Source organism: Homo sapiens, chromosome 10 (genome assembly GCF_000001405.40).
Source record: "Homo sapiens chromosome 10, GRCh38.p14 Primary Assembly".
In the NCBI taxonomy this organism is placed as follows: Eukaryota; Metazoa; Chordata; class Mammalia; order Primates; family Hominidae; genus Homo; species Homo sapiens.
The window spans coordinates 73742964-73769208 of record NC_000010.11 but is presented as its reverse complement, the minus strand read 5'-3'; the positions used below and the strand labels follow the sequence as shown (position 1 = coordinate 73769208).

The following is a 26245-nucleotide window of genomic DNA, read 5'->3' as shown; positions in this document are numbered from 1 at the left end:
CTTCTATACCAAGCGAATGAAACACTTCCTGCCCAGCCCCGCCTCCCGCCTGCCACCTGCAGGAGAGCTCCGCTCTCTTCATTGAGCCGATCGTCATGCTTGAACTCCACAGTCACTGTTTTGTCCCCATCTAGCCCAGCCAGCTCCACATCTGTCGTGTTGCTCATGTAGAAAGCTCCAAAGAAATCTACAGCACGGATACCTGAGGCCACATGGACAGGGTCAGGGCAAAAAGTATGACAAGTGCCACATGCCTCCCTTCCATATTTAGCCCCCCAACCTGCTCTTCAATCAGGACTGACCAGTGCTTGTCCGGACCCGCATCACAGCATCAAAGCCAACAACCTTCTGGACATCACGACGCAGGTCACTCAGGAACCGCTCCTGGTCGTTCTCCACCTGCAGGCCCCCAGGTCCAGAGTCATGTCACTGACTAGACATAGCTCATCGTGCAGACAATCTCCCTGTACCCCTTCCACTCTACAAGGCCACCTAATTATCATCATCATAACAGTGAGGATGATAATGATGATGACAATAATAGCTTTTAAACACTTAGACTGCATGCCAGGTACCACACAGAGTGCTTTACATATAATTATTTAATTCTGTTGACAAATCCTACTTAAGTATTTTAACACCATTTTGCAGATGAAGGAACAAAAGAGGAAGTACTTAAGAAATTTATCCTAGGTCATGTAGCTAGTAAGTGGTGGGGCCAGAATATCAATGCAGGACTGATTCCAAGGCCCATGTTCCTAACTGCCACATTCTCGGGCTCACTTCTTCAGACTATGCAGTCTTCTCTTCCAACACTATTTCTTCTTTTTTGGAGACGGAGTCTTACTCTGTCGCTCTGGCTGGAGTGCAGTGGCGCAATCTCGGCTCACCACAACCTCCACCTCCCGGGTTCAAGGGATTCTTAGCTTCCTGAGTAGCTGGGATTACAGGCGCCCGCCACCACACCCGACTAATTTTTGTATTTTTCGTAGAGATGGGGTTTTGCCATGTTGGCCAGGCTGGTCTTGAACTCCTGACCTCAGGTGATCTGCCTGCCTCAGCCTCCCAAAGTGCTAGGATTACAGGTGTGAGGCACCGTGCCTGGCCCCAACACTATTTCTATTAATGAGTCAGCCACTGCATATATAAGCAGATATTCCCAGCCCTGCTGCCACCTGCTGCCCCAAATCCCACACCATACCTGAAAGGAAGCATATTTGTAGACAGAGCCACCAGTGAGCTGGGGCACAACAGAGAGTGTGGCCACATCCACATACTGGTTAGGGAAGAGAAAGAGATCTACACAGCAGCCTTGGGCCACACACTCTTTGGCCAGGGTCTGATAGGCACCTGTCTGAGGCTGGAACAGAGTCTAGGGGGAAAGAAAATGGGGAGAAGAAAATGTTCAAATATCTCAGCTCCGCCCTATTTGAAAACTGTATATCTAGCATGGGATATTCAAATTCATGGAAGACTTCAGATCTACTTCCAAGGATTTTCCAATAGTAAAAAATTTTCTTTTATATTATTTTTATTTTTTTGAGACAGGGTCTCACTCTGTCACCCAGGCTGGCATAGAGTGGCATGATCTCAGCTCACTGCAACCTCTGCCTCCCAGGTTCAAGCGATTCTCCTGCCTCAGACTCCCAAGTAGCTGGGATTACAGGTGTGTGCCACCACACCTGGCTAATTTTTGTATTTTTAGTAGAGACGGGGTTTTGCCATGTTAGTCAGGCTGGTCTCAAACTTCTGGCCTCAAAAATCTGCCCGCCTTGGCCTCCCAAAGCGCTCGGATTACAGGCATGAGCCATCATGCCCGGCCAAAAGTTCTTCTTTAAAAAATAAATAAATACAAGAGTCTACCAACAGCTTTGGCATCAGATGGAGTAGAGAAGTATGGCAGCAGTGGAGGTTGGCAGTCACAGATATGGTATTTGAAAGGGTGGAGTGTCTGGTCCTAGCCACCATCAAGAAAGTAGAGTCCCCACTTCCTCTGTAATGAAAAATCCTTCCCCTCCCCCATTTTCCAGTCCCACACCTTCTCCTTGTCTGTATTGATCAGCTTCCTGTCATCTCTGTTCTTCAGTTTCCCTGGGGCCTCTGCAATGGGCAGGGATGTATGGAATAGAAAGAGCTTCCCTGCACACTCAGCAGCCTAGGAAAAAAGAGAGGACTACTTGTTTATTCTTTATTCATCCATCTCTTCCCTTGTCATTTATTAAGCACCAGCTATGTCAGACAGTCTAACACACTGGACAGTCACCCACTACTGAAGAAAGAGAGGTTGTATCCCAGGGGATAAGATGGTCAGAGGAAAATGGAGTTAGAGGAGGTTGCCCGATACTCCAGCCTTACCTTCAGAGCCTCCATTCCAGCCTGGATAACTGGTACAAATACTGTCTCTGTTTCCCTTGTGTCTGCAAACATTTCTGGAATCTGATCCAATAAGCTAAAGAGATAGGTGACGGAAAACAACCAAAATTGCTATACAGATTCCAGATACCTCAGTTCTCGATTCCCTGAAGAGTCATCAAGCCTCTAGAATCTGACAACTCCTGGGCCACAACCCCTTTCCATCTACTGTCCAATACCTCTGTTCAACTCCATGACCTTCTATGGTGGTACCCATGCCACCCCCAACCTTTACCTCCACAATCTGGCTCTTACCTGGTGATAACTGCCCGAGACTCATTGACGTTGACCAGGAAGCCATCCAGCAGTGGCACAAACATGTCAGCCACATCAGACACAACCATCATCTGTGGCTGGGCCAATGAGCTCTTCACATTATAGAAGTGGAGCACCTTATTGTAGGTGACAAAGCCAACGCGGATTGCTGACTCTTCTGCCCCACCCTCCCTGTAGAAGGTGACATTGTTACCTAGACTTGCCACCTTTTCCACCACCCACAACTTCATGACACCAAGCTACATTTCTTCAGTCAACCCAGACACCCTATCATTAACCTCAGGAAACACCTCAGTTCTGTAACTCTCACCTAGGTAGAAAGTCTAACAGTGACTTGAGCTCCTCACAGAGGAGCCTAACAAGACCAGTCCTGATGGCATTGTAGGAGACGTCAATCATGAAGATAAAGGCAGGAGGGCTGGGGAACTTATTGTTCTGCAGAGGAAGAAAATGTTGGGGAGAGGGGGAATGGTAAGCAGGCCAGTTGACTATAGAGAAGTCAGCATCAAAAAGGGACAAAAAAGGGGTGAGGGAAATGATAACAGCCATTCTCAGCTGTCTCATTATCCTCCACTCACTGCTCCTCCCATGCTACCTTCCCTCACCTTGCAGTAATCTACAGTGGCCAAGAATTCATAAGAGCCCAGGGATAGCTCAGGGCGGTCATAAGCATCCACACGTTTGCCGGTATGATCCAGGTGCTGAAAATACTGGGGGGGAACTGTGGGAAGCATGGCAGTGTGTTACTCGAAGATCCAGTTTCAATCTTAGTATTCTGGCCCTAGCTGAGCTCACACCACTATCCCTCATTCCCATGTGCCCTACTTCCCCAGCTCCTGAAAGATGGACCCTCATCTCTCTAACTATTTAATAGAGAACAAGGAAGATACAATCAAGACCTTCCCCCAAATCCCAGCTTCCATGAACATACCATCATTGATACAGCTGCAAAAACAGCACTGGAAACGCCTCCCTCCTTCAATGAACTGCATGAAGGGACACATGTATGCTTTGCAGCGGTTGCAGCGCAAAGGGCCAGATTCCCCATGGTCCACAACATACGGTGAAGCCTAAGGCGCAAAGGGGAAGGGATCAGACATAAAGGAAAACCACAGTAGGTTCAGCCAGGAGATGAGGAAGAACAACCGGAGGAAGAAGGCGCATGGCGCAGATATTCTGTCTGCAGAGGGAGTAGGGAGCACAATGATGAAAGGGAGTAAAGACAAATCACAGGAAAATGTCCCTATGAGTAAAAATTATATAGTTCCCTCTTCCTACATCCCACCCCCAGAGCTGCATTTCTCACTGAAAGAGAAGAGGAAATGCAAAACCGGCCATATCAGACTAGGGGCTGCCATGGGCATATGAGGGAGAAAGCCAAGATTATCTAGGATTCTCCTTTCTGGCCCCATCTCTAATGCCCTTCACTCTTGCTCTAAGAATCTTGATTCCAGCTCCTTCCCTAACCAAATATCTGTAACACCTCCTCCCGTATCCCTGGGATTCTGTGCCAGTTACTGATGCCCCAGGCAAATGTCACCCTACACATAAGAGACCAGTGCCCAACTATCCCCAATGGGACCCAGATAGAAATAGACAAACACACAGAGAAAGACGGAGAGATAAGCAGAATATAAACTGAGCCTTTGGCTTCTAGTAACAGAGAACCCTATCGTAAGATAAGCAAGGCTGAATATGAGTATCCTACCAAGGCCTGGTGGAGCAGCTGCCTGGCTCGCTCTCTTCATGCTGGTATCAGGTACTGGGGTGACAGATCAGGTCCCAAAACAGGTGACAGAAGGATCACTGGATCCTAATCTACCTTTTCTCTTATATGCTGTTCTAACAGCACTAACCTGGGATGACAGGACAGTCAGGAAAACATGGAATGATGTCCTTCTCATCATCTGGAGATGACCATGATACGAGAGGTTCCTACATTCAGCTGTCTTCTCCCCTACAATTTGGCCCTACCTCTTGTTTTTTTTTTTTTTTTTGAGACAGAGTCTCGCTCTGTTGCCCAGGCTGGAGTGCAGTGGTGCAATCTCGCCTCACTGCAAGCTCTGCCTCCCGGGTTCACGCCATTCTCCTGCCTCAGTCTCCCAAGTAGCTGGGACTACAGGCGCCCGCCACCACGCCCGGCTAATTTTTTGTATTTTTCATAGAGACGGGGTTTCACCGTGTTAGCCAGGATGGTCTTGATCTCCTGTCCTCGTGATCCACCCGCCTCAGCCTCCCAAAGTGCTGGGATTACAGGCGTGAGCCACTGCGCCTGGCCTGGCCCTACCTCTTTTCATCCTGCTTGTTTCCTCTAGAGACTCTGTTCCTTCTCAGCAATGTCTTGGGCTTTTGCTCTCATCCCTACCATCCCCTCTCCAGGCATGGGCCCTGGGATAGAAAGCCACTAAAGACAGTCTCCTCTCCTGCCTAACTAAAATATCTTCCATTGTGAAGCTGGAATCACATCCAGGAAGACGCTTTAGACCCCTCTCTACCTCCCTCCCTTTCATTACACTCTAGCCCCTTCCCTGACTCACCTCCTCTGGGGGCAGCCTTGCCAGCGGTTTGATGACTGCTGCCAGGGGCACCTGAGCCTGCTTAGCCATGTCAGATGTGCAAGGGATATTATAGGATGTACATCGGATGTATCGGGGACTTGCATTCCCTGAAGAAGGAGGCAGAAGACCCGAGTCAGATCACAGAATCCTTCCAGACACCAGCTCTCCATTGGTGATCCACACCATCAACTCCACAAAGCTAGAGGTGATGGTGGCTTTTTCCCCCAGAGGGACTAGAGGGAACTTGTCTCTGGTTAAAAACTAAAAAAAAAAAAAAAAAAAAAAAAAAAAAAAAGCCCCAACCATAAGCTGATAATCTTGAAGAAAAAGCCCCTGTGGGAGGAGCTAATTCCATTCTCACCTTGGTCTTTCACCAGGAAGTTGGTAGTGACTAAGGGTGGCACCTGGCCCCGTACTCCAGTAACAAATGGCTCTGTACCCCGGTTGTTCCTGTCATCTTCAATGACCTGAATCTGCAGAGAAGTGCAATGAATGAGGTGACAGAAGAAAAAGGAAGTGTGAGGTCCCAGAGTGCCAAGAGTGAAAAAGGCTAGAGCTGTAACACAAAAACTAAAAATTTGCCAAGGAACACCTCATACACCAGGCCTGTTCTCCTTCTGGAGATCATATAAAATGCTGTAATGCCAATCTTACACTCTACAGCAGCCAATCTTTCACTCCCAGCAGCCTGCTGGGCAGGCAACATGAGAATGGGCTTCTTTATGAATTGCCCCCTACCCCCCATCAATGGTGAACACCCTCTCATTCCTCCCATTCCAGGAAAAGCCCCAGCTCTGATCACAAACCTTCAAACATGATTAGATTCCATTCCCCTCCCCCATCATGCCTTCCCCGATCCTCTCCCCAAGACACATTCTGAGTCAGAGCAGGAAAACAGACAACAGTAACCACGTAAAAATGAATCTACCTGGAATGACTCTACACTCAATGAAATTACAAGGGACAGGGTGAGGAGAGATTTAAACAGCCAGAAATGATCAAGTAAGGTGAGGAAGCAGATGCTGCCTTACTTTCAGGTAAGCATCAATGTGTATATATAGGAGGAGAGGAGAAGTACCCAATCCTTATAGCTCAATCCTCAGTCCTCCACATTTTGACAGACTCAGCAAAGGAAAATAAAGGACCTGCAAAGCTGGTATTCAGACCTTTATGCAGGCTAATGACCTTTGGTCAGTTACTTCAAGATGGGTTTGGAAAACCAGAAAAAGCAAAGGGCAAATAAGACTCTATCCCATAGCAGAAAGGTTGAAGCTTAGAAATATATCAGAGTCAAAAAGACTCTTCAGATGAGAAAGCACCCACACTTTCCCAAACCAGCAGTCCCTTCTCCTGTAAGAAATGCCAGTTTGGGATACTATGAATCTGTACATTCCTACTCCAATATTTCTCCACAACAGGCTACAGACAAATCAAATCCAAAGTGGAATGATCTACCGTTCAACTTTGTCCTCTTCCATCATACATCACCTGCAGGCTCCTGGAGGTGCCAGCAGAACTAAAGCCAAAGCTTGACATGCCACCTGACCCCACCCTTAGAGCCTGACCTTCCACCACCCCATACTCAAGGCAAACAGCTTGCTACCTCTTCATTACCTGGTGACTTGAGGCATGCATATCCTTTTATCTTGTATAAGTGAGTATCTAGAAGGGCTAGGCTAAAGGAAGAGAATGGGGAGGAATGGACATGGTAGATGAGGTGAAGATGAGGTCACAGGCATGCATGGATGGCACTAACACAGGAATGACATGCACAAACACCCACCCCCTGCACTTACTGGACTAGGAATGGCATCGGGGTCTATTCTGTGCCTGGTTTTCTGCTGAGGAGGCAGCTCACTGAGTTGCTTTTAGTGTTTTAATAATAAATGCAGCAGGGGAATACAAGGAGGGAGACAAAAGAACAAGAGGCAGATGTTACTTCTCTCAACCCTGTTGAGTTAGACATGAACAGCTGGAGCCCAGCTCATATTGCTGAAATCAAGCCCCCTCTAGATATGAAATTCCAAGTCTTTCTGGCCCAACACAGAGGCTTTAATGGCTCAGACTATGATGTAGAAAGATAAGGAAAGGGGCAAACAGGAGGCAAGCAGGAGTTACACAGGGAGGGGCTGAGGCTGAATGGAAGAAACCTTAAGGAAGAAGAAGAGGAGTGTTCCCCCTAAAAGGCCAAACCTCCCATTCTAAGGACTATCTTATGCTGAAAGAAGCCTCCCTTCATGTCCAACCAGACTCTCCTTCTCACTGAAGGAGGGGGAAGGAAGGAGAGGCTGCTTAATCCTCTTGAGTTCTCCTTGGCCAACAGGCTCCCTCACTGTGTTGGTTACCCAAAGGAGGAAGAGGGACGAGAACAGAATGGAATATGACAATGGCTAAGCATGGCAAGGTAACTGACATAGCAAATGTTACAGGTGGAACTATAAAGTGGCCCCTACTTGGCAGTACAGTCCTAGTCTCTATTCTGAGTCTGATAAGGAGGGCCTGAGGATTCTGATGGCTCCAAGGGTGCAATTCACCCTCTTCCTGAAAAAAGCAGCTCTCCAGTGGGACTTTACATACACACTGCCCTCATAAACTGTCGTTCACTCTTCCCCATCCACACAGCAGAAGCCTACCAAACAAAAGTACTGGGGACTTCCTCCTAAAACTGTCCAAGTAAGAGCAGAGAAACCAGTGAGGCTTTCCTTCTCTTAACATCTAACATCAGAGAATTCCCACCTGCTCTACCCATTAGGAAGAATGCCATCCTTCTAGATCTAAGGGGACAAGACCCAGTCACTGCTCCACAGAAGGACAAAGGCTACTATACTATGTATGTACAGTAGTGACAGAGTGCAGCCCTCAGACATCTACTGGTGCTGCTGCTCACTCTTGGTTTCCCTTCCTTCTCTGCCCAGCTATAGAGTAAAACAGCCCCCCAAAAGACTCCTAGAACCTCAAGTTCCAGTTCAGAATCAAATTATATGTAAGTTCTCCAAGAAGATGAACAAAAAGGGAAAATTATCAGAAAATGCTAGGCAAACATTTCATCTAGATTGACCTGCCTATCTGGCAGACACAAACCCTTCCTCAGGACCATGAAAGTTTCTACTTACAGGGCTTGGGATGGCATCAGGGTCCAGGCGCTTAGGAGGCAGTGGCTGAGGAGGCCCAGGCTGACTGCCAAAGGTGGGTGCTGCTGGGTAGGGGCCTCCATAATTAGACTGAGGGCCCCGGGCTGGTCCGAAGGAACCTGAGACAAGGACACAAGGTTGATGAACTCAAAATCCCATCCCTATCTCTTCTTAAGGCCTCAGGAAAATGACTAGACTCCTAAAAACATAGAATTATGAGGCACACTAATGCCTGGCAAAGACATTCAGAAAAATACCATGTTATCAGAACGACAAGAAAAAATAATGTCTTACAAACCCCATATCCTAGGAATAATACCCTGAAGCTACCCATCTAATTCACCACTTAGCAAGTAATACTAAAAACAAACAAATAAAAAACATCAAAAACCACCTGAGTAGCTGAAGCCTCTAGCTTCTAAGACAGACCTTGGGAAAGACTCACCATTTTGTTGGGGCTGATAGCCTGGCTGCTGCGGGGAGTGCATAGGTGGCAGTGGTCCCAGGGGCCCAGTCATCTGGGTGCCAGGGGGCAGAGCTTGAGGAGGTGAAGACACATGGTTGGGCTGGCTCACTGAGGGCCCTCCAAAACTCTGTCCAGGCAGGAGTGGACCAGTCATCGAAGGCAGCCGAGGACCCCCTGAAGCTGGGGGTGTGAAGCTGGAGGCCTGTGATGGGGCAGATCGCTGGGGAGTCTGGATCCCAGGATGACCTTGGGCCTGGCTAAGGGGAGGAGCCTGGCCCTGAGGATAGGAGCCATACAGACCAGAGTTAGGGAAACTTCCTGAGGCTGAAGCCAGCGATGTTGGTGGGCCTGAGAAGTAGAATAAAGGTAGAGTCAAAAGCCCAGTCATTCTGCCTCCTTGTTCGGTATATCACTTCCCTTTCCACACAAGAGGGGCAAATATGACTGTCCCATCTTCTGAGGCTCAGAGGCACAGGAAATACAAGGGAAATAAAAGAGATTCAGGTATAACCCCAGAGTCTGATGCCTCTGAACAGGGGACAGTAACATTCCTGTGTTCACAGCCACTCACCAAAGCCCAGCCCTGAAGAAGGAGGGGCTGGGGCCACAGCACCGCTGATCTGCATTCCAGACAGCTGCGTAGCCACCTGTGCACTTGTCGGGGGAGGGCCATAGGGCTGAAGCACAGGTGGCTGGTTGCCCACAGGGGCCAATGGGGACCCAAATGGCTGAGACCCAGGCAGCCTGTGAAAAGAAAGCAAGCAGAGGTGACTAGTGGGGCCAGGACACCCTTTGAAGTCTACAGAAGTGTCACATCATACAGGAAGCTACATTGTTTTGTGACATCTTACTCTCACACCCTGAGTTCTTTTATGGCTTCATACTTTTGTATATTTGTGGGTAAATTATATTCCTGATTATTCATGGCAAATCTTGTTTTCCATTAAGCTCACTCCACAAACATAAACCAAGCACCTTCAGGTCAAGTACTATTTACTCTGCTAACTAAATTACTGCTTCCTCTGCTTCAATTCTTTGACAAACCTCTTCAGTTTTGTAATCTGAAGCCCTGAAAGCACTGAAAGGGAAGGCACGCATAAGCATGCATGAACCTTAATAAATATGAAATCAAACAAATGCAGATTGATTGTCCAGCTTTTTTTTTTTTTTGAGACAGGGTCTCACTCTGCCACCCAGGCTGAAGTGCAGTGGTGTGATCACAGCTCATTGCAGCCTCAACTTTCCAGGCTCAGCTGATCTTCCCACCTCAGCCTCTCAAGTAGCTGAAACGAAAGTCACACGCCACCATGCGTGGCTAGTTTTCGCATTTTTTATAGATACGGAGTCTCGCCATGTTGCCTAGGCTGGTCTCAAACTCCTGAGCTCAACGAATCTGCCCGCCTCAGTCTACCACAGTGTCTTTCCAATATACTTTCCATTCAGTGTCTCCCTCTCTGATTATTCCCATCAGCACAAAAACATACAAACATCTCACACACACACACACACACACAAAAACCAACTATAGTGGAAACATCCCAAATGTCTATCAGCAGAAGAATGGATAAACAAAATGTGGCATGTAGCTACACAATGAAAAACCACTTAACCACAAAAAGGAATGGAGTACTAATATACACTACAACATAGTTGAACTTTGAAAATATTATGCTAAATTAAAGAAGTCAGTTATAAAATATCACATAGTATATGATTCTATTCTAATGAAAAGTCCAGAATAGGGAAATCTTTAGAGACAGAAAGTAGATCAGGAGTTGCTTAAGGTTGGAAGAATAGGGGAATGGGGGAATAGCTAAACAGGGGTAGTTAAAGAATGCAGTATTTCTTCTTCAGATGATGAAAATGTTCTAAAACTGACTGTAGTGATATCTGTCAATATACTAAATTGTGACAGCACATATCTGTCAATATATTAAAAACCACTAAATATACAAAAACACTTTAAACAGACGAATTGCACAGTATATGAATTATATCTCAAAAAACTTTTTAAAAATCCAACCAAATTACCTCACAGCCCCCTCAAACTTTTGCTCCCCTTTTAGCTAAACATTACAAAAGAATAGGTCTATACTCTGTCTCTACTTTTTTTTTTCTTTTCTTTTCTTTTGAGACAGAGTCTCACTCTGTCGCCCAGGCTGGAGTGCAGTGGTGCGATCTTGGCCCATCACAACCTCCACCTCCTGGGTTCAAGCAATTCTCCTGCCTTAGCCTCCCGAGTAGCTGGGACTACAGGTGCCCACCATCATGCCTGGCTAATTTTTGTATTTTTAGTAGAGACGGGGTTTCACTATGTTGGCCGGGCTGGTCTCGGAACTCCTGACCTCGTGATTCGCCCGCCTCAACCTCCCAAAGTGCTGGGATTACAGGCGTGAGCCACCGTGCCCAGCCTTACGTTTTTTTTTTTTTTTTTTTTTTTTTTTTGAGACAGGGTCTCGCTCTGTCACCCAGGCTGGAGTACAATGGCACTCACTATCTGTGGCTCACTGCAGCCTTGACCTCCTGGGCTCAAGCAATCCTCCCCCTAAGCCTCCCCTCCCAAGTATCTGAGACCACAGGCACACACCACCACACCTAGCTAATTTTTTTTATTTTTTGTAGAGACAGGGTCTTGCTATGCTGCCCAGGATAGTCTTGAACTCCTACCCCGGCTTCACAAAGTGCTGGGATTACAAACATGAGCACTGTGCCTGGCCCAACTCTAATCAAAGTGCCTTTCTCCGATAATCCCTTCCAGCCCGGACTGAGGTGTGGTTGTTCTACATTTGTTTCCAGAAGGTACTCCAATAATGACAGTGTCACCCTAGATTGATTTTTTTTTTTTTTTAGTTTTTGAGACAGGGTCTCACTCTGGCACCCAGGCCACAGTGCAGCGAAGCCATCATGGCTCACTGTAGCCTCAACCTCCAGGGCTCTAGCAATCCTCCTGCCTCCACCTCTGCTTCCCAGGCACACCAACAATGCTCAGCTATTTTTTTTTTTTTATAGCGACAGGATCTCCCTATGTTGCCCAGGCTGGTCTAAAACTTCTGGCCTCAAGTGATCCTCCTGTCTCAGCCTCCCAAGGTGTTGAGATTACTACAGGCATGAGCCACTGCACCTGGCCTCTAATTTAAAAAAAAAAAAAATTAGGCCAGGTGCAGTGGCTCATGCCTGTAATCCCAGTACTTTGGGAGGCCGAGACAGATGGATCATTTGAGGTCAGGAGTTCAAGACCAGCCTGACCAACATGGTGAAACTCCATCTCTACTAAAAAAATACAAAAATTAGCCCAGGCGTGGTAGTGCACACCTGTAATCCCAGCTACTCAAGAGGTTCAGACAGGAGATTCACTTGAACCTGGGAGGTGGAGGTTGCAGTGAGCCAAGGTCACACCACTTCACTCCAGCCTGGGTGACAGAGCGAGACTTCATCTCAAAAAAAAAAAAAAAAAAAAAAAAAAAAATTGGCCAGGAACAGTGACTCACACCTGTAATCCCAGAACTTTGGGAGGCCAACACAGGTGAATCACTTGAGGTCAGTTCAAGACCAGCCTGGCCAACATGGTGAAACCCTGTCTCTACTAAAAATACAAAAAATTAGCCTGGCATGGTGGTCATGCCTGGAATCCCAGCTACTTGGGAGGCTGAGGCAGGAGAATCACTTGAACCCAGGAGGCAGAGGCTGCAGTGAGCTGAGATCGTGCTATTGCACTCCAACCTGGGCAATAAGACCAAAACTCTGTCTCAAAAAAAAAAAAATATTACTGAGATGTAATTTCCATACCATTAAATTCACTTCAAGTGAACAATTCAATGATTTTTAGTAAATTTAGTTATGCAACCATCACCAGAATCAAATTTTAAAACATTTTCATCATTCCAAAAAGATGTCATGTCCATTTGCAGTCCCAAGAACTTTTTTTTTCACCCATCCACAGCCAGCCTGAGAGAAACAGCACTCCTTATCTCCCCTTTCCAGCGTGCAGACTTTTTTCCCCTAGTCAGCTTGTTCAATGAAGGTGCAGCCCAGGTCCAGACTTTATAAACAATGTCTCAGTTCCAAAACTACTCTCAGGAAAGCCCAAGGACTCATCTGCCTTCCCCAGTACCTGCTTAAATTTAAGGCCCTGGCTTCTCAAGATGATGAATCCACCCAATCTACAGGCAGCTCCAGAGTCAATTTACCACTCTGATTTTCAGTCCTCACTTGATGGCCAGGCACAGTGGCCCATGCCTGTAATCCCACCACTTTGGGAGGCCAAGGTGGGCGGTTCACCTGAGGCGAGGAGTTTGAGACCAGCCTGGCCAACACGGTGAAACCTCATCTCTACTAAAAATACAAAAATTAGCCGGGCATGGTGGCCCACATCTGTAGTCCCAGCTACTTGGGAGGCTGAGGCAGGGGAATCGCTTGAACCTGGGAGGTAGAGGTTGCAGTGAGCAGAGATCGTGCCACTGCACTCCAGCCTGGGCGACAGAGCAAGACTCTGTATTTAAAAAAAAAAAAAGATTTTCAGTCCTCACTTGGTCTCTAAAACTTAAGAATTTCACATTTTCTTTCAAGCTTAACTTTGCACTTAAAAATTTTTTTTGTTTCTATTTTCTCTCTCCTTTCTAGACTTTGGTAGCAGAGGGTTTTCAGATTATGTCAATCTACCACCCGGTTGAAACTTTTTTTTTTTCCTGAGACGGAGTCTCGCTGTCTGTCGCCCAGGCTGGAGTGCAGTGGCAAGATCTCGGCTCACTGCAAGCTCTGCCTCCTGGGTTCACGCCATTCTCCTGCCTCAGCCCCCCAAGTAGCTGTGACTATAGGAGCCTGCCACCGCGCCCAGCTAATTTTTTGTATTTTTAGTAGAGACGGGGTTTCACCGTGTTAGCCAGGATGGTCTCGATCTCCTGACCTTGTAATCCACCCGCCTCGGCCTCCCAAAGTGCTGGAATTACAGGCATGAGCCACCGCGCCTGGCCTGAAACTCTGACTCACTCCAACTGGGTAGTTTTCTTTATCTCTACACTGAAACTGCCTTTACCAATGACGCCAACCTTGCCAAATTCAATGGTCAATTCTCCATCTTCATCTTACAATTTGGCAGCATCTGACACAACTGATTACTCTCTCACCTTCTTGAAATACTCTCTTCACCTGACTTCAGGACACCACACTCTCCCGGCTTATCTCCCACCTCACTACTGCTCTTTCTCATTGTCTTTTGTTTTTTTTTTGTTTGTTTGAGATGGGGTCTTACTCTGTCATTCAGGTTGGAGTGCAGCGGTGCGATTTCGGCTCACTGCAACCTCCGCCTCTTGGTTTCAAGCCATCCTCCCACCTCAGCCTCCCAAGAAGCTGGGACCACAGGCATGTGCCACCACACCCGGCTAATTTTAGTATTTTGGTAGAGACAGGGTTTCACCATGTTGCCCAGGCTTGTCTCGAACTCCTGAGCTCAAGCAATCTGCCTGCCTCAGCCTCCCAAAGTGCTGGGATTACAGGAGTGAGGCACTGCACCTGGCCCCTCATTGTCTTTTAATGGCGGCTCCTCTTTACTTTTAAATGTTGCTAAGCTCCAAGTCTCAGTCCTCAATTCCATTCTTTAATCTCAATACTCACTTTTTAAATGATTTCATCTAGTCCCACGGCTTTAAATATCTATAGACTGAGGACTCCCAAATTTTTATCTCCAGTCCTAGCATCAGTCTTGAGCTGCAGATTTGTATATGCACCTGCCTACCTAACATCTCTACTTGAATAGAGTTTATATGAGGGACTTGAGCCTTTGTGGATTTTGGTATCTGTTGGTCAGGGGAGGTCCTGGAACCATTCCCCCATGGATACTGAGGAATGACTGTAGTGAGATTTGGGATACATCTTGAAGGTGGAATCAATAGAATTGGATGTGGGTTATACGGCATCATATTTGCATATAACCTCCCATATACTTTTTTTTTCCTGAGACGAAGTCTCACTCTGTCGCCCAGGATGGAGTGCAGTGGCACAATCTTGGCTCACTGCAACCTCTGCCTCCTGGGTTCAAGCGATTCTCCTGCCTCAGCCTCCCAAGTAGCTGAGATTATAGGTGCCCGCCACCACACCCAGCTAATTTTTGTATTTTTAGTAGAGATGGGGTTTCACCATGTTAGCCAGGCTGGTCTCAAACTCCTTACCTCAGGTGATCCACCCACCTTGGCCTCCCAAAGTGCTGGAATTACAGGTATAAGCCACCACACCCAGCCTCCTCCCATGTACTTTAAATCATCTCTAGATTACTTATAATACCTAATACAATGTAAATCAGGGGTGTCCAATCTTTTGGCTTCCCTGGGCTATACTGGAAGAAGTGTCTTGGGCCACACATAAAATACACTAACACTACACTAATGACAGGTAATGAACTTAAAAAAAAAAACCTCATAATGTTTTAAGGAAGTTTATGAATTTGTGTTGGACCACATTCAAAGCCGTCCTGGGGCACGCAGACTGTGGGCCACAAGTTGGACAAGTGTGATGTAAATGTTATGTAAAGAGTCCAAACTGTGGGAAATTCTTTGGGTTAACTGTTTTCTTCAACAGATAAATACTAAGAAAAAGAAGACAGAGGTGGAGCTTATAGACTTAAGACACACCAAGTGTTTTTCCTGTGGGTAAAACTAAATTGTGGTACGTGGGGTTGTACATTTGAGTGTAAACTTTTTCTTTGTGAGACACAGTCTCGCTGTTTCTCAAGCTCTGGAGTGCAGTGGCGAGATCACACTCAGTGTAGCCTCGACCTTTTGGGCCCAAACGATACCTCCACTTCAGCCTCCCAAAGTAGCTAGGACAACAAGCTTGCCACCATGCCCAGCTAACATTTTATTTTTTGTAGAGATTGGGGTCTCCCTATATTGCACAGGCTGGTCTCAAAAATCTGGGCTGAAGCAATCTTCTCACCTTGGCCTCCCAAAGTGCTGGGATTATAGGCATGAGCCACCTCACCCAGCCAAGTGTAAACTATTTTTAAAAAACCACAAGAAAGTCAGCTGGGCGTGGTGGCTCACACCTGTAATCCCAGCACTTTGGAAGGCTGAGGCGGGTGGATCACTTGAGGTCAGGAGTTCGAGACCAGCCTGTCCAACATGGCGAAACCCTGTCTCTACTAAAAATATAAAAAAATTAGCCATGCCTGATGGCAGGCGCCTGCAATCCCAGCTACTCGGGAGGCTGAGGCTGGAGAATCGCCTGAACCCAGGAGCTGGAGAGTGTAGTGAACCGAGATCACACCACTGCATTCTAGCATGGGCAACAGGGCAGGACTCTGTCTCAAAAAAAAAGAAAAAGAAAGTAATTACTGTAAGAGTCAGGATAATGCAGGATAGTTGTTATTTATGAGGGGAGGGAGAGAATAATGTTTGAATTGGGGCACATGGAAAAGGCTTTTGGGGTGAGTGGCAAAGTTCTATTTCTTCATCTGGGTCGTAGTTGTAGTTACAAAGGAGTTTGCTATATAATAATTTACTAAGGCATATGCTTGTTTCGTATGGGTTTTTTGTTTTGTTTTGTTTTTTTGTGACAGGGTCTTGCTTTGTCACCTAGACTGGAGTGCAGCAGTACAATCATGGCTCACTGCAGCCTTCAACTTGTGAGCTCAAGCAATCCTCCCACCTCAGCCTCCCCAAGTGCTGGTATTAAAGGAGTCAGCCACTGCACCCAGCACGGACCAATGTATTTAAAACAGCTCCCTACCCCCTCACTATATCCTCACCCTGTTTTATAACTTTATGTACATTTGTGTACTTGTTATCTTCTATGTACCCCACTTGTTTGACTTACCCAGGCTTACATTCAATGCTTAAAATGTGTGTTCTGGACACCCAGTTAAAGTGTCAGAAAGTGACTTTTCTATTATCATACCCCTTTCCCACAGTTATATTTTACTCTTTATTTACCAAACACAAACAACACTCCTGACCAGGTGCAGTGGCTCACTCCTGTAATCCTAGCACTTTGGGAGGCCAAGGTGGGCAGATTGCTTGAGCTCAGGAGTTTTGAGATCAGCCTGGGCAACACAGCGAAACCCCATCTCTACTAAAAATACAAAAAATTAGCTGGGTGTGGTGGCGCATGCCTGTAGTCCCAGCTACCTGGGAAACTGAGGTGGGAGGGTCACCTGAGCCTGAGACATCCAGGCTCCAGGGAGTTGTGATCCTGCCACTGCACTCTAGCTTGGGCCACGGAGTGAGACCCTGTCTCAAAAAAAAAAATTAAAAAATTTTAAAAAGCACTCTAATAGAGATGACTGCCCTCCTTTAATGGACTTTCATGCTAAGATGGGTTTATTGGGTCACTGTACCACTGAAGTTTTCACCATTTATGTGGTTTCCCTTTTAGTATCTTTCAGTTCATAACTGGCCATGCCCAAACTTAACCAATCAGTCCTACTAAGTGCCTGTTCTAGAGGAAAGGGGCAAGTCAAAAGAGATGCAAATAATCCTGAAGTTTCCTCTTCCCATTTCTCCCTTAGGGTAGTCTCAACAGGACTGCAACCATTATTGAAGATGTATGTCTAGTAAAGCAAGAAACTCAAGTTCACAGAAAATGAAGAATATGCAAAGGAACCCAGGTACTAAGATGGGTCAATAATCCACAGGGCTGGACGTCAGCAGTACCTGTAACCTGGAAAAAAGAAGACAAAGTACAAAAGGGTAGAGGGAAGAGAAAAAGTGATCTACAAGAAAGGCAAAGGAGAGAAAAAAAACAAAACAAAACACAAACCCCCATACATTCCTAACCTTTCTACTTTCATCAGATCAATTTTATTTATTTATTTATTTATTTATTTATGAGACGGAGTCTCACTCTATCGCCCAGGCTGGAGTGCAATGGCACGATCTCGGCTCACGGCAACCTCTGCCTCATGATTCTTCTGCCTCAGCCTCCCAAGTCTGGGATTTCAAGTGCACACCACCACACCTGGCTAATTTTTTATTTGAGAAAAGAGATGGGGTTTTGCCATGTTGGCCAGGCTGGTCTCAAACTCCTGACCTCAGGTGATCCACCCACCTCAGCCTCCCAAAGTGCTGGGATTACAGGCATGAGCCACTGCACTCAGCCTCATCAGACCAATTTTAGATTGACCAAGTACCTACCTTTGCATCTGAACAGTGGAGCTTGGCCCATTCTGTACATCTCCTTGGCCAAACTGGCCATATGCAGCCTGGCCACAAGGAGCCTGTGCTGTTGAGGCTGGAGGTGCCCCCGAGGAAGGTGGGGCTCTTGACATACCTGAGGGTAAAGGACAGAAACTAAGTGATTGGGAAATAACTTTCTCCTCCACCCTGAGCCAGGAATGCAAAGCAAGGATCAATAAACTCAGACCTTCACTGGCCCAATACCACAGTTTAGGCAGTGAAAAGGACACTACCAGCATACAACTGTAGCTACAGCAGTATTCTAAACACAGATTCCCAACAAGGGGCCTACACTCCCCTAGACAAGCATACTAGGGGTGAAGCTGTAGCCAGAGGCACAAGAATGTAGGGCCTTCCTTTGATCACCATACTCTCAGTCAATCCAAGACTGCCTGATATTCTTACCCTAGACAACAAGCCAACCCTTTTAAGGAAAAGATCTTACTCCAGAACTCAGAAACTTGGAGCATATATGAAAAAGGAGACTCAGAAGATGACCAAGTAATATACGGAACTAGGCTGCAAAGAAAGGCATCTCTTGGGGAGATTATTCTGCCACCTTCTTCTTCATTCATTCTGCTTACACTAACTATATCCTTTCATCCACTTCTAAGTGTGAAAACATGAAACAGCACGATTCAGGAACGTGTTCCTATAGATCGGAGACCTTGTTTCTGCCCAACAGTTCAGTAAGGACAGCTGGCCTGTCCTCCCATCAGCATTGCCACCTATGTCCTCACAAAAGCTGTACTCCATCCTTCCTATTCCTTAGAACCACCACCAAAGCTACTTACACTACCCTTAGCCATTCTTCACATATGAAGTTCAGGGAGAAAGCAATTAGTTACTTGGCACATCACTTTTGAAATGTGGATGACCTCTGTTCAAAGAATGCTTTTCTTTTGCTCTGCCCTCAGTAGAGATTAGACATTATAGAACCTGCCTACAGGAACATGATTAGCCTAAACTTGCTCACCAACCATGACAGAATCAGATATGTTTTCCTCTAACAAAGCTTTCTCATGAGAGAATGCCAAACTCGAGCACTTGACAAAGCAGAGGTGGACTCTGTCCAGCCAAAGTCTCAGCTTAGAATTAAGGTTCTTCCAAAGACCTGGGGCCTAATCTCATCACAATATTTTTTCCCCACAGTTAAAATCATCATACTTCATTATTTCCCAAATCTTACCAGTACCTCCTTGATGCCTTCTTTTTTCCATATCTCTTTATGAAAGCATAGAGTTTGGCATACCCTAAATCATCGGCTAGCCTAAGCAAAGATCTACTGTTAACTATTTCCAAAAAGCCCCTCTGGAGAATCGGTAGAGTACTAGCTGCTCTTCTTGAGAAAGTAAGGTAAGGCTGGACGTGGTGGCTCACGCCTGTAATCCCAGCACTTTGGGAGGCCAAGGCAGGTGGATCACGAAGTCAGGAGTTCGAGACCAGCCTGGCCAACATGGTGAAACCCTGTCTCTACTAAAAATATAAAAATTAGCCGGGCGTGGTGGCATGTGCCTGTAATCCCAGCTATTCGGGAGGCTGAGACAGGAGAACTGCTTGAACCCGGGAGACAGAGGTTACAATGAGCCAAGATCGTGCCACTGCACTCCAGCCTGGGTGACAGAGTAAGACTCTGTCTCCAAAAAGAAAAAAAAAAAAAAAGAAAAAGAAAAGGTAAGGTTAAAAGCCAAACACTGAACCTAGAACAGCATCAGATTAGTATTATCTTATTACCATGACATTACAGAGCATCTAAGAAGCAGAGGAAACTCAAGCAAAGGAAAAGGATGGATATCAGAAGACATGAGACGCACCAAAAGTCAGGCACACAAATATCACACTTTTCACCCCCATAAACTACACTGTCCCAGGGTCATTCATACATAAGAATCATCAGTCCAACAAGAGGCTTTCTCAACATATATGACGAATAAATTATTTCAAGGAGACTACAAGTCAACAGGAAATATTCGGTCCTGGTCACAGGATCTAGAGGGGTGTGGACCACAACCCTTCCATTTAGCTCTGAACAATGTGACCAGGTAAGGCTGCACAAGGTGATACCCACAGGAAGTGAACAGTCAGTGAACCTGGGAGATGTGTTCCCACTAGATGGCTTAAGGCAGAAACACAGTACCTTATCTAAAAACAGGGAAGACAGCTGGGCGTGGTGGCTTACGTTTGTAATCCTAGCACTTTGAGAGGCCGAGGCAAGTGGATCACCTGAGGTCAGGAGTTCGAGACCAGCCTGGCCAACATGGCAAAATCCCATCTCTACTAAAAATACAAAAAATTAGCCAGGTGTGGTGGTGGGTGCCTGTATCCCAGCTACTCAGGAGGCTGAGGCACGAGAATCACTTGAACCTGGGAGGCAGAGGTTGCAGTGAGCTGAGATTGTGCCATTGCACTCCAGCCTGGGTAACAAGAGCCAAACTCCAGCTCAAAAATAAAAAAGAAAAAAAATAAGGCCAGGTACGGTGGCTCACACCTGTAATCCCAGCATTTGGGAGGCTGAGGCGGGTGGATCACCTGAGGCCAGGAGTTTGAGACCAGCCTGGCCAACATGGTGAAACCCCATCTCTAATAAAAATACAAAACATTAGCCGGGTGTGGTGGCACATGCCTGTAATCCCAGCTACTTGGGAGGCTGAGGCAGGAGAATCACTTGAACCTGGGAGGCGGAGGTTACAGTAAGCTGAGATTGTGCCATTGCACTCCAGCCTGGGTAACAAGAGCAAAATTCCATCTCAAAAAATATTAAAAATAAGGCCAGAGGTGGTGGCTCATGCCTGTAATGTCAGCACTTTGGGAAGCCGAGATGGGTGAATCATTTGAGGTCAGGAGTTCGAGACCAGCCTGGCCAACATGGTGTAACACTGTCTCTACTAAAAATACAAAAAATGCCGGGCATGGTGGCGGGAGCCTGTAATCACAGCTACTCTGGAGGCTGAGGCAGGAGAATTGCTTGAATCTGGGAGGCGGAGGTTGCAGTGAGCCGAGATTGTGCCACTGCACTCCAGCCTGGGCAACAGAGCGAGACTGTCTCAAAAAATAAATAAATAAATAAATAATAAAATAAGTAAAATAAAATAAAAAAACAGGGAAGGGGCCGGGCGTGGTGGCTGAAGCCTGTAATCCCAGCATTTTGGGAGGCCAAGGCTGGTGGATCATTTGAGGTCAGCAGTTCTTCAAGACCTTCCTGGCCACTGGTAAAACCCCATCTCTACTAAAAATACAAACAGTGGCCAGGTGTGGTGGCTCACGCCTGTAATCTCAGCATTTTGGGAGTCCGAGGTGGGTGGATCACTTGAGGTTGGGAGTTCAAGACCAGCCTGACCAACATGGAGAAACCCCATCTCTACTAAAGATACAAAATTAGCAGGGTATGGTGGTGCATGCCTGTAATCCCAGTTATTCGGGAGGCTGAGGCAGGAGAATCACTTGAACCCAGGAGATGGAGGTTGTGGTGAGCCGAGATCGTGCCACTGCACTACAGCCTGGGCAACAAGAGTAAAACTCTGTCTCAAAAAAAAAAAAAAAAAAAAATACAGGCCAGGCACGGTAGCTCACGCCTATAATCCCAGCACTTTGGGAGGCTGAGGCGGGCAGATCACAAGGTCAGGAGTTCAAGACCAGCCTGGCCAAGATGGTGAAACCCCCATCTCTACTAAAAAGACAAAAAAATTAGCTGGTGTGGTGGTGGATGCCTGTAATCCTAGCTACTCAGGAGGCTGAGGCAGAGAACTGCTTGAACCTGGAAGGTGGAGGTTGCAGCCAAGAGGGTGCCACTGCACTCCAGCCTGGGCGACAGAGAGAGACTCTATCTCAAAATAAATTAAAAAAATACAAAAATTAGCTGGACGTGGTGGTGCATGCCTGTAATCCCAGCTACTGGGGAGGCTGAGGCAGGAGAAGTGCTTAAGCCCAGGAGGCAGAGGTTGCAATGAGTTGAGATCATGCCACTGTAATCCAGCATGAGTGACAGAGCAAAACTGTCTCAAAAAAAAATTAAAATAATAATAAAAAAAGGGAAGGGAAGGGCGCCCACGGGGCTCTCAGCTACACAGGGCCAGATTTATGTTCCTCAATCCCAGTTATCCAAACTTCTCAGGTAGCTTAGCTAGAGCAATACAACCCAACCTGAAGACTCTGCTGATTTCCCTCCCTAGCTCAAAGGAAACAGAAACAGAAACATACCTTGGGGAGGTGTTTGCTGATAGCCTGGTACTGGGCCATTGTAGGCTCCATAGGGAATGGCGGGGGCTGTGGACCCTGATTGCCCACCATAGCTGGACTGATGATACCCTGGGTAGATGGGCTGGGGCTGCCCAAATGGTGGCACAGGTGGAACTGACTGGTTGACGTTCATTATGAAAGCATTCCCAATTTGATCTCACCTGTGAGAGAGAGGAGAAATTAGTCAAAATGAACTTTCTAAAGAGAGCAACTATTCAGGGCAGGAAGTAGAGATAAAAAGAAATTGACCTTATCAGACAGTGATCAGTTTAATAATCCTCACACTTCCACAGGATCTTAGTAATTTTCTGCCCCAGCCAGCATTCAGATTATCTCCTAAAAGCAAGGATTTTGTTATTCTGACCATCCACCCTTTGTCACTGTCTAAATAGTATAAATTTCAACTTCAGACAGATCCACTGAAATGGAGCAGCAGCCTCCATTCCCCAGTGGTATGATTTCTAGTGTCTAGTCACACAGTCTTGTGGCTGATGAACTACCTTGATGTTACAGGTGAAAGAAACAATGTTCCCACTTTCCATTCATTCACTCTAGCATCCATTCATTCAGCAAACATCGAGTACCCTCTAGTGTGCTGAACAATTGATTTAAAATCAATCAGGCTAAAAATCTAAAACAGATCTGCTAAAATCCTTCCCCCTCAATGACAAAATTTAGGCTGAGTTACAGAAATGACATTCTTTAGCTAAACTGCCATAATACAAATGATACTCCAACCCAAGTCTTTCCACCAAAAGAGTGTATGGACCTTAAAACTGAAGGTTTTTTTTTTTTTTTTTTTTTTTTGAGACGGAGTCTCACTCTGTTGCCAGGCTGGAGTGCAGTGGCGCGATCTCGGCTCACTGCAACCTTCACCTCCTGGGTTCAAACGATTCTCCTGCCTCAGCCTCCCGAGTAGCTGGGATTACAGGCGCGTGCCACCACACCCAGCTAGTTTTTGTATTTTTAGTAGAGACAGGTTTTCACCCTGTTAGCCAGGCTGGTCTCGATCTCCTGACCTCGTGATCCACCCACCTTGGCCTCCCAAAGTGCTGGGATCACAGGTGTGAGCCACCACGCCCGGCCAAAACCGAAGCATTAAAATCAATAAAAGTTGGCCAGGCACAGTGGCTCATGCCTGTAATCCCAGCACTTTGGAAGGCCAAGTCGGGCAGATCACTTGAGGTCAGGAGTTCATGACCAGCCTGGCCAACACGGTGAAACCCAGTCTCTACTAAAAATACAAAAACTAGCCGGGCATGGTGGCACACGCCTGTAATCCCAGCTACTTGGGAGGCTGAGGCAGGAGAAATCGCTTGAACCCGGGAGGCGGAGATTGCAATAAGCCGAGATCGTGCCACTGCACTCCAGCCTGAGCAATAGAGCAAGACGCCCTTTCAAAAAAATAAAAAATAAAGGACACCTGAAAACTCTAGCAAGGTAACAGATTAAAACCAAGTGCAGAACAGGCACCAAAACTTCTTCACATAATCTGAGGAAACAGTTCAAGAATCAGGGGCAAAGTTAGAGTTAGATTTCATGGAAAAAAATCATTCACCTCATCCCTCAAGCAGAAGACTATGAATATTCTAAATTCCAATGCACTTCTCCAACTCTCCTGTTTCTGCTCCCCTTACGATTGTTATGAATCTCAGCCACCATCAAAATTATTACAATCTTGCTCATCAACACAGGGATGAATTAGAGGGCCTTTTCTAAACAGGGTCCTTCCAAGAAAACTATCTCATCACATCTACTTTCAACAGCTGTATCATTCCAATTATCCTGTAGACAGAAGGGGCCCAGAAAGCAGGAGCACTCAGAGTTGCTGCAAAGGGAACAATGGACCTCTCCCCCTTTGCTAGAAGGGCCACCTTGACTATAGAAAAGGAGCTGATCCTGGTCTAAAACTCTTTAAACTCAAAGTTATCTCAATAGCTGTTCTTCCAAACCCTAAACCTTACAGAGGTAGGTCACTGACACTAAGTTTAAAATATGTCCTCTCCCTTTATGTTTCCAAAGCCGGGGGGAGGGGTAAAGAAAGGAGCTTCTTCTCCAGAAAATAATCCCCTCAAACACATTCAAGAGCTTGGAGTCAGACTGAAGTCTCGACTCCATTCTGGGTGGATAGTCGAGGGTGACAACCCAAGGGGGCGGGGCAAGCTTCCTAGAACTCTGAAAGTAGTCAAGCCATGGAGCCTCGGAGAGCCGAGGATCAAAACCGAGAAGCCAAGTCGGCTTCTAGGGCCACGTTAAGAGAGGGGGCTGCTCTGTTAAGCACAGAGACCAAACGTCTTGCACCTTTTAACAGGCTCGGGGCAGGAAGCAGGAGCCGGAATCTGGGCCGGGAGACGAAGGGATGGTCTAGGACCTGCTCCTGGATGGTGGATGCGTGAGGTGAGGGTCTCTACCCAGGCCCCGCCCCCAGGCTCCTCCCTTCTTTCTGAAACCGGACCCCAATCTGGCCAGTAATACCCTGACCTCTCCTTTGCTTTCCTACCCGCCAACCTCCCGATGCCACTCCTCACCCGGCTCCAGATCCAGGTTAGACTTCGTTCCTAACGTCAAGGCTCCCAGGCTCCACTTCCGGTTCCGAGGGGGCCGTCCCGTCACCCCCGGAAGTTCCTCCTCCACGCTTTAGGGCCGGGCCACTTCTTCTGCCACGTCTGCATTTCGGGGACCCGGATGCCGCGCATGCGCCTCTTTCATCTTCCCATCATGGCCGCCGCCTGTGCGCCTCTGCTGAGTCGTATGTATTTCCCTCCTGACATTTTTTTTCAGATGTTCCAGTCACTTTATGGCCTCACCAACAGAAATGAGATTAAAAAGAATTTGTCAAACTATCTTTAATAATGCCCCTTCACTCTGCCTGTGACGTATTAGTGACCTCTGAGCTAGAGTCTTGTAGTCACTTCCTGGTGACCCCTGACCCCGTTGATTTCCGTCCGCTAGGTTGCTCTCACCCATGGCGTTTGCTGGTTATGAGATTTGCGGAACGTGTGGTGGTGGTAAAGGGCACCAACTGTTGTCAACCTGCATGTGGGGGTCTGAGGTCTGGCTCTACAGCTTGTAAAATGGAAATAATAATGCCCAGAGGATGAAATTAGGCCACATAGGCCGCTTGGCATCATAGTAAGCACTCAGTAAAGGTCAATTGTTATTAACCATTTTTATACAGCGCCTTTGTTTAGGTGCAGAGCTTTATCAGAGCCAAAAGATCTCTGCGCTCTGTTGGAAAAGATAGTTCCTGCAGTAATTATTAGTACCCCATTTAATGGCTAAGTAATTATAGCTAACAGTGCTAGGATTTCTTTTTCATATATGACTTCATTTGAACTTTTCAGTACTATTTGTTGATTTCATAATTTTTCGAGCACTGCTGTTGAAACTGCCTTTGCAAAATTACAACTGAGGAAATTATGATAGTGGAAGAAATCAGACTTAACCGACTCCATCTTGCTTCTAACCTTTAAGCTGTCCTTATTCATTCCTGGGTGTAGGTGGAACTAACTTTGGGGAGGAATTCAGTTTATGGTTTGAAACAAAATTGATAATAGCCCCTTCCCGAAAAGACCCCCTTCTTGCCTGGGGACCAGTCTGTCTTTACAGGACTAACAAATTAGCTACAAGATTACAAATTACAGTTTAGGGGACATGCAGCCTCTCGCTCCAAGAGTCTGAACCTCCCCAAATTGCTTTTAGGAATAACATAACTATTGTAAAACCTAAGATTAGTGCTTGAGATGTTTTGCAGACCCTGCACTCATTGGATCAGCTGACTACCTAGACCAGTAACCTGGCTCAATCAGTTCTGCCATTCCACCCAGGAACAGAAAACAGCAAGAAAACCTCACTTTGACTCCCTGTGATTCCGTCTTCAACCTGACCAATCAGCACTCCCCGCTTCCCAAGCTCCTACTCGCCAAATTATCTTTAAGAACTCTGATCCTCAAATGCTCAGGGAGACTAATTTGTGTAATAATAAAACTCTGGTCTCCCACA

General features: G+C 46.6%; 1 protein-coding gene and 1 long non-coding RNA gene across 10 annotated transcripts in view, besides 5 other annotated features; one reads left to right on the top strand and one right to left on the bottom strand.

Annotated features, from left to right (window-relative positions):
* SEC24C (SEC24 homolog C, COPII component) overlaps window positions 1–24837 on the bottom strand; it is a 27790-nt gene extending 2953 nt beyond the window's left edge. Inside the window, exons 1-20 of one of the 9 annotated variants that reach the window (XM_047426032.1) lie at window positions 24744–24837; window positions 23802–24028; window positions 22493–22579; window positions 22205–22404; window positions 17966–18101; window positions 9415–9587; window positions 8823–9191; window positions 8360–8496; window positions 7043–7111; window positions 5608–5719; window positions 5226–5353; window positions 3620–3758; window positions 3294–3409; window positions 2999–3123; window positions 2668–2859; window positions 2356–2449; window positions 2039–2155; window positions 1202–1372; window positions 303–399; window positions 57–202 (exon numbers count right to left, since the gene is read on the bottom strand). In XM_047426032.1, the coding sequence (XP_047281988.1) occupies window positions 57–202; window positions 303–399; window positions 1202–1372; window positions 2039–2155; window positions 2356–2449; window positions 2668–2859; window positions 2999–3123; window positions 3294–3409; window positions 3620–3758; window positions 5226–5353; window positions 5608–5719; window positions 7043–7111; window positions 8360–8496; window positions 8823–9191; window positions 9415–9587; window positions 17966–18101; window positions 22205–22376 (2493 nt within the window). In that variant the 5' untranslated portion in view covers window positions 22377–22404; window positions 22493–22579; window positions 23802–24028; window positions 24744–24837. Of the gene's footprint in view, window positions 1–56; window positions 203–302; window positions 400–1201; window positions 1373–2038; window positions 2156–2355; window positions 2450–2667; window positions 2860–2998; window positions 3124–3293; window positions 3410–3619; window positions 3759–5225; window positions 5354–5607; window positions 5720–7042; window positions 7112–8359; window positions 8497–8822; window positions 9192–9414; window positions 9588–17485; window positions 17493–17965; window positions 18102–22204; window positions 22405–22492; window positions 22580–23801; window positions 24029–24743 lie in introns of those variants that run through there. The other 8 variants (XM_047426033.1, XM_047426031.1, XM_011540381.4 and 5 more) reach the window with 8 other exon arrangements.
* Window positions 9335–9434: an enhancer, noted in NCBI's record as "active region_3570". NCBI's record gives its function as "activates an Ori minimal core promoter by ATAC-STARR-seq in GM12878 lymphoblastoid cells {active_cell/tissue: GM12878}" and the evidence as "EXISTENCE:reporter gene assay evidence [ECO:0000049][PMID:35858748]".
* Window positions 24296–25495: an enhancer, noted in NCBI's record as "MED14-independent group 3 enhancer chr10:75503472-75504671 (GRCh37/hg19 assembly coordinates)". NCBI's record gives its function as "activates an origin of replication core promoter dependent on BRD2, BRD4, P300/CBP and CDK7 cofactors, and independent of MED14, by STARR-seq in HCT116 cells {active_cell/tissue: HCT116}" and the evidence as "EXISTENCE:reporter gene assay evidence [ECO:0000049][PMID:35650434]".
* Window positions 24322–24888: an enhancer, noted in NCBI's record as "H3K27ac hESC enhancer chr10:75504079-75504645 (GRCh37/hg19 assembly coordinates)". NCBI's record gives its function as "activates a minimal SCP1, AML or CMV promoter by ChIP-STARR-seq in primed H9 embryonic stem cells {active_cell/tissue: H9 hESC(primed)}" and the evidence as "EXISTENCE:reporter gene assay evidence [ECO:0000049][PMID:30033119]".
* Window positions 24789–25218: an enhancer, noted in NCBI's record as "active region_3569". NCBI's record gives its function as "activates an Ori minimal core promoter by ATAC-STARR-seq in GM12878 lymphoblastoid cells {active_cell/tissue: GM12878}" and the evidence as "EXISTENCE:reporter gene assay evidence [ECO:0000049][PMID:35858748]".
* Window positions 24889–25456: an enhancer, noted in NCBI's record as "H3K27ac hESC enhancer chr10:75503511-75504078 (GRCh37/hg19 assembly coordinates)". NCBI's record gives its function as "activates a minimal SCP1, AML or CMV promoter by ChIP-STARR-seq in primed H9 embryonic stem cells {active_cell/tissue: H9 hESC(primed)}" and the evidence as "EXISTENCE:reporter gene assay evidence [ECO:0000049][PMID:30033119]".
* LOC124902453 (uncharacterized) lies at window positions 24944–26245 on the top strand. Its single transcript, XR_007062195.1, has 2 exons — window positions 24944–24992; window positions 25998–26245. It is a non-coding gene; the product is annotated as an uncharacterized LOC124902453 (long non-coding RNA).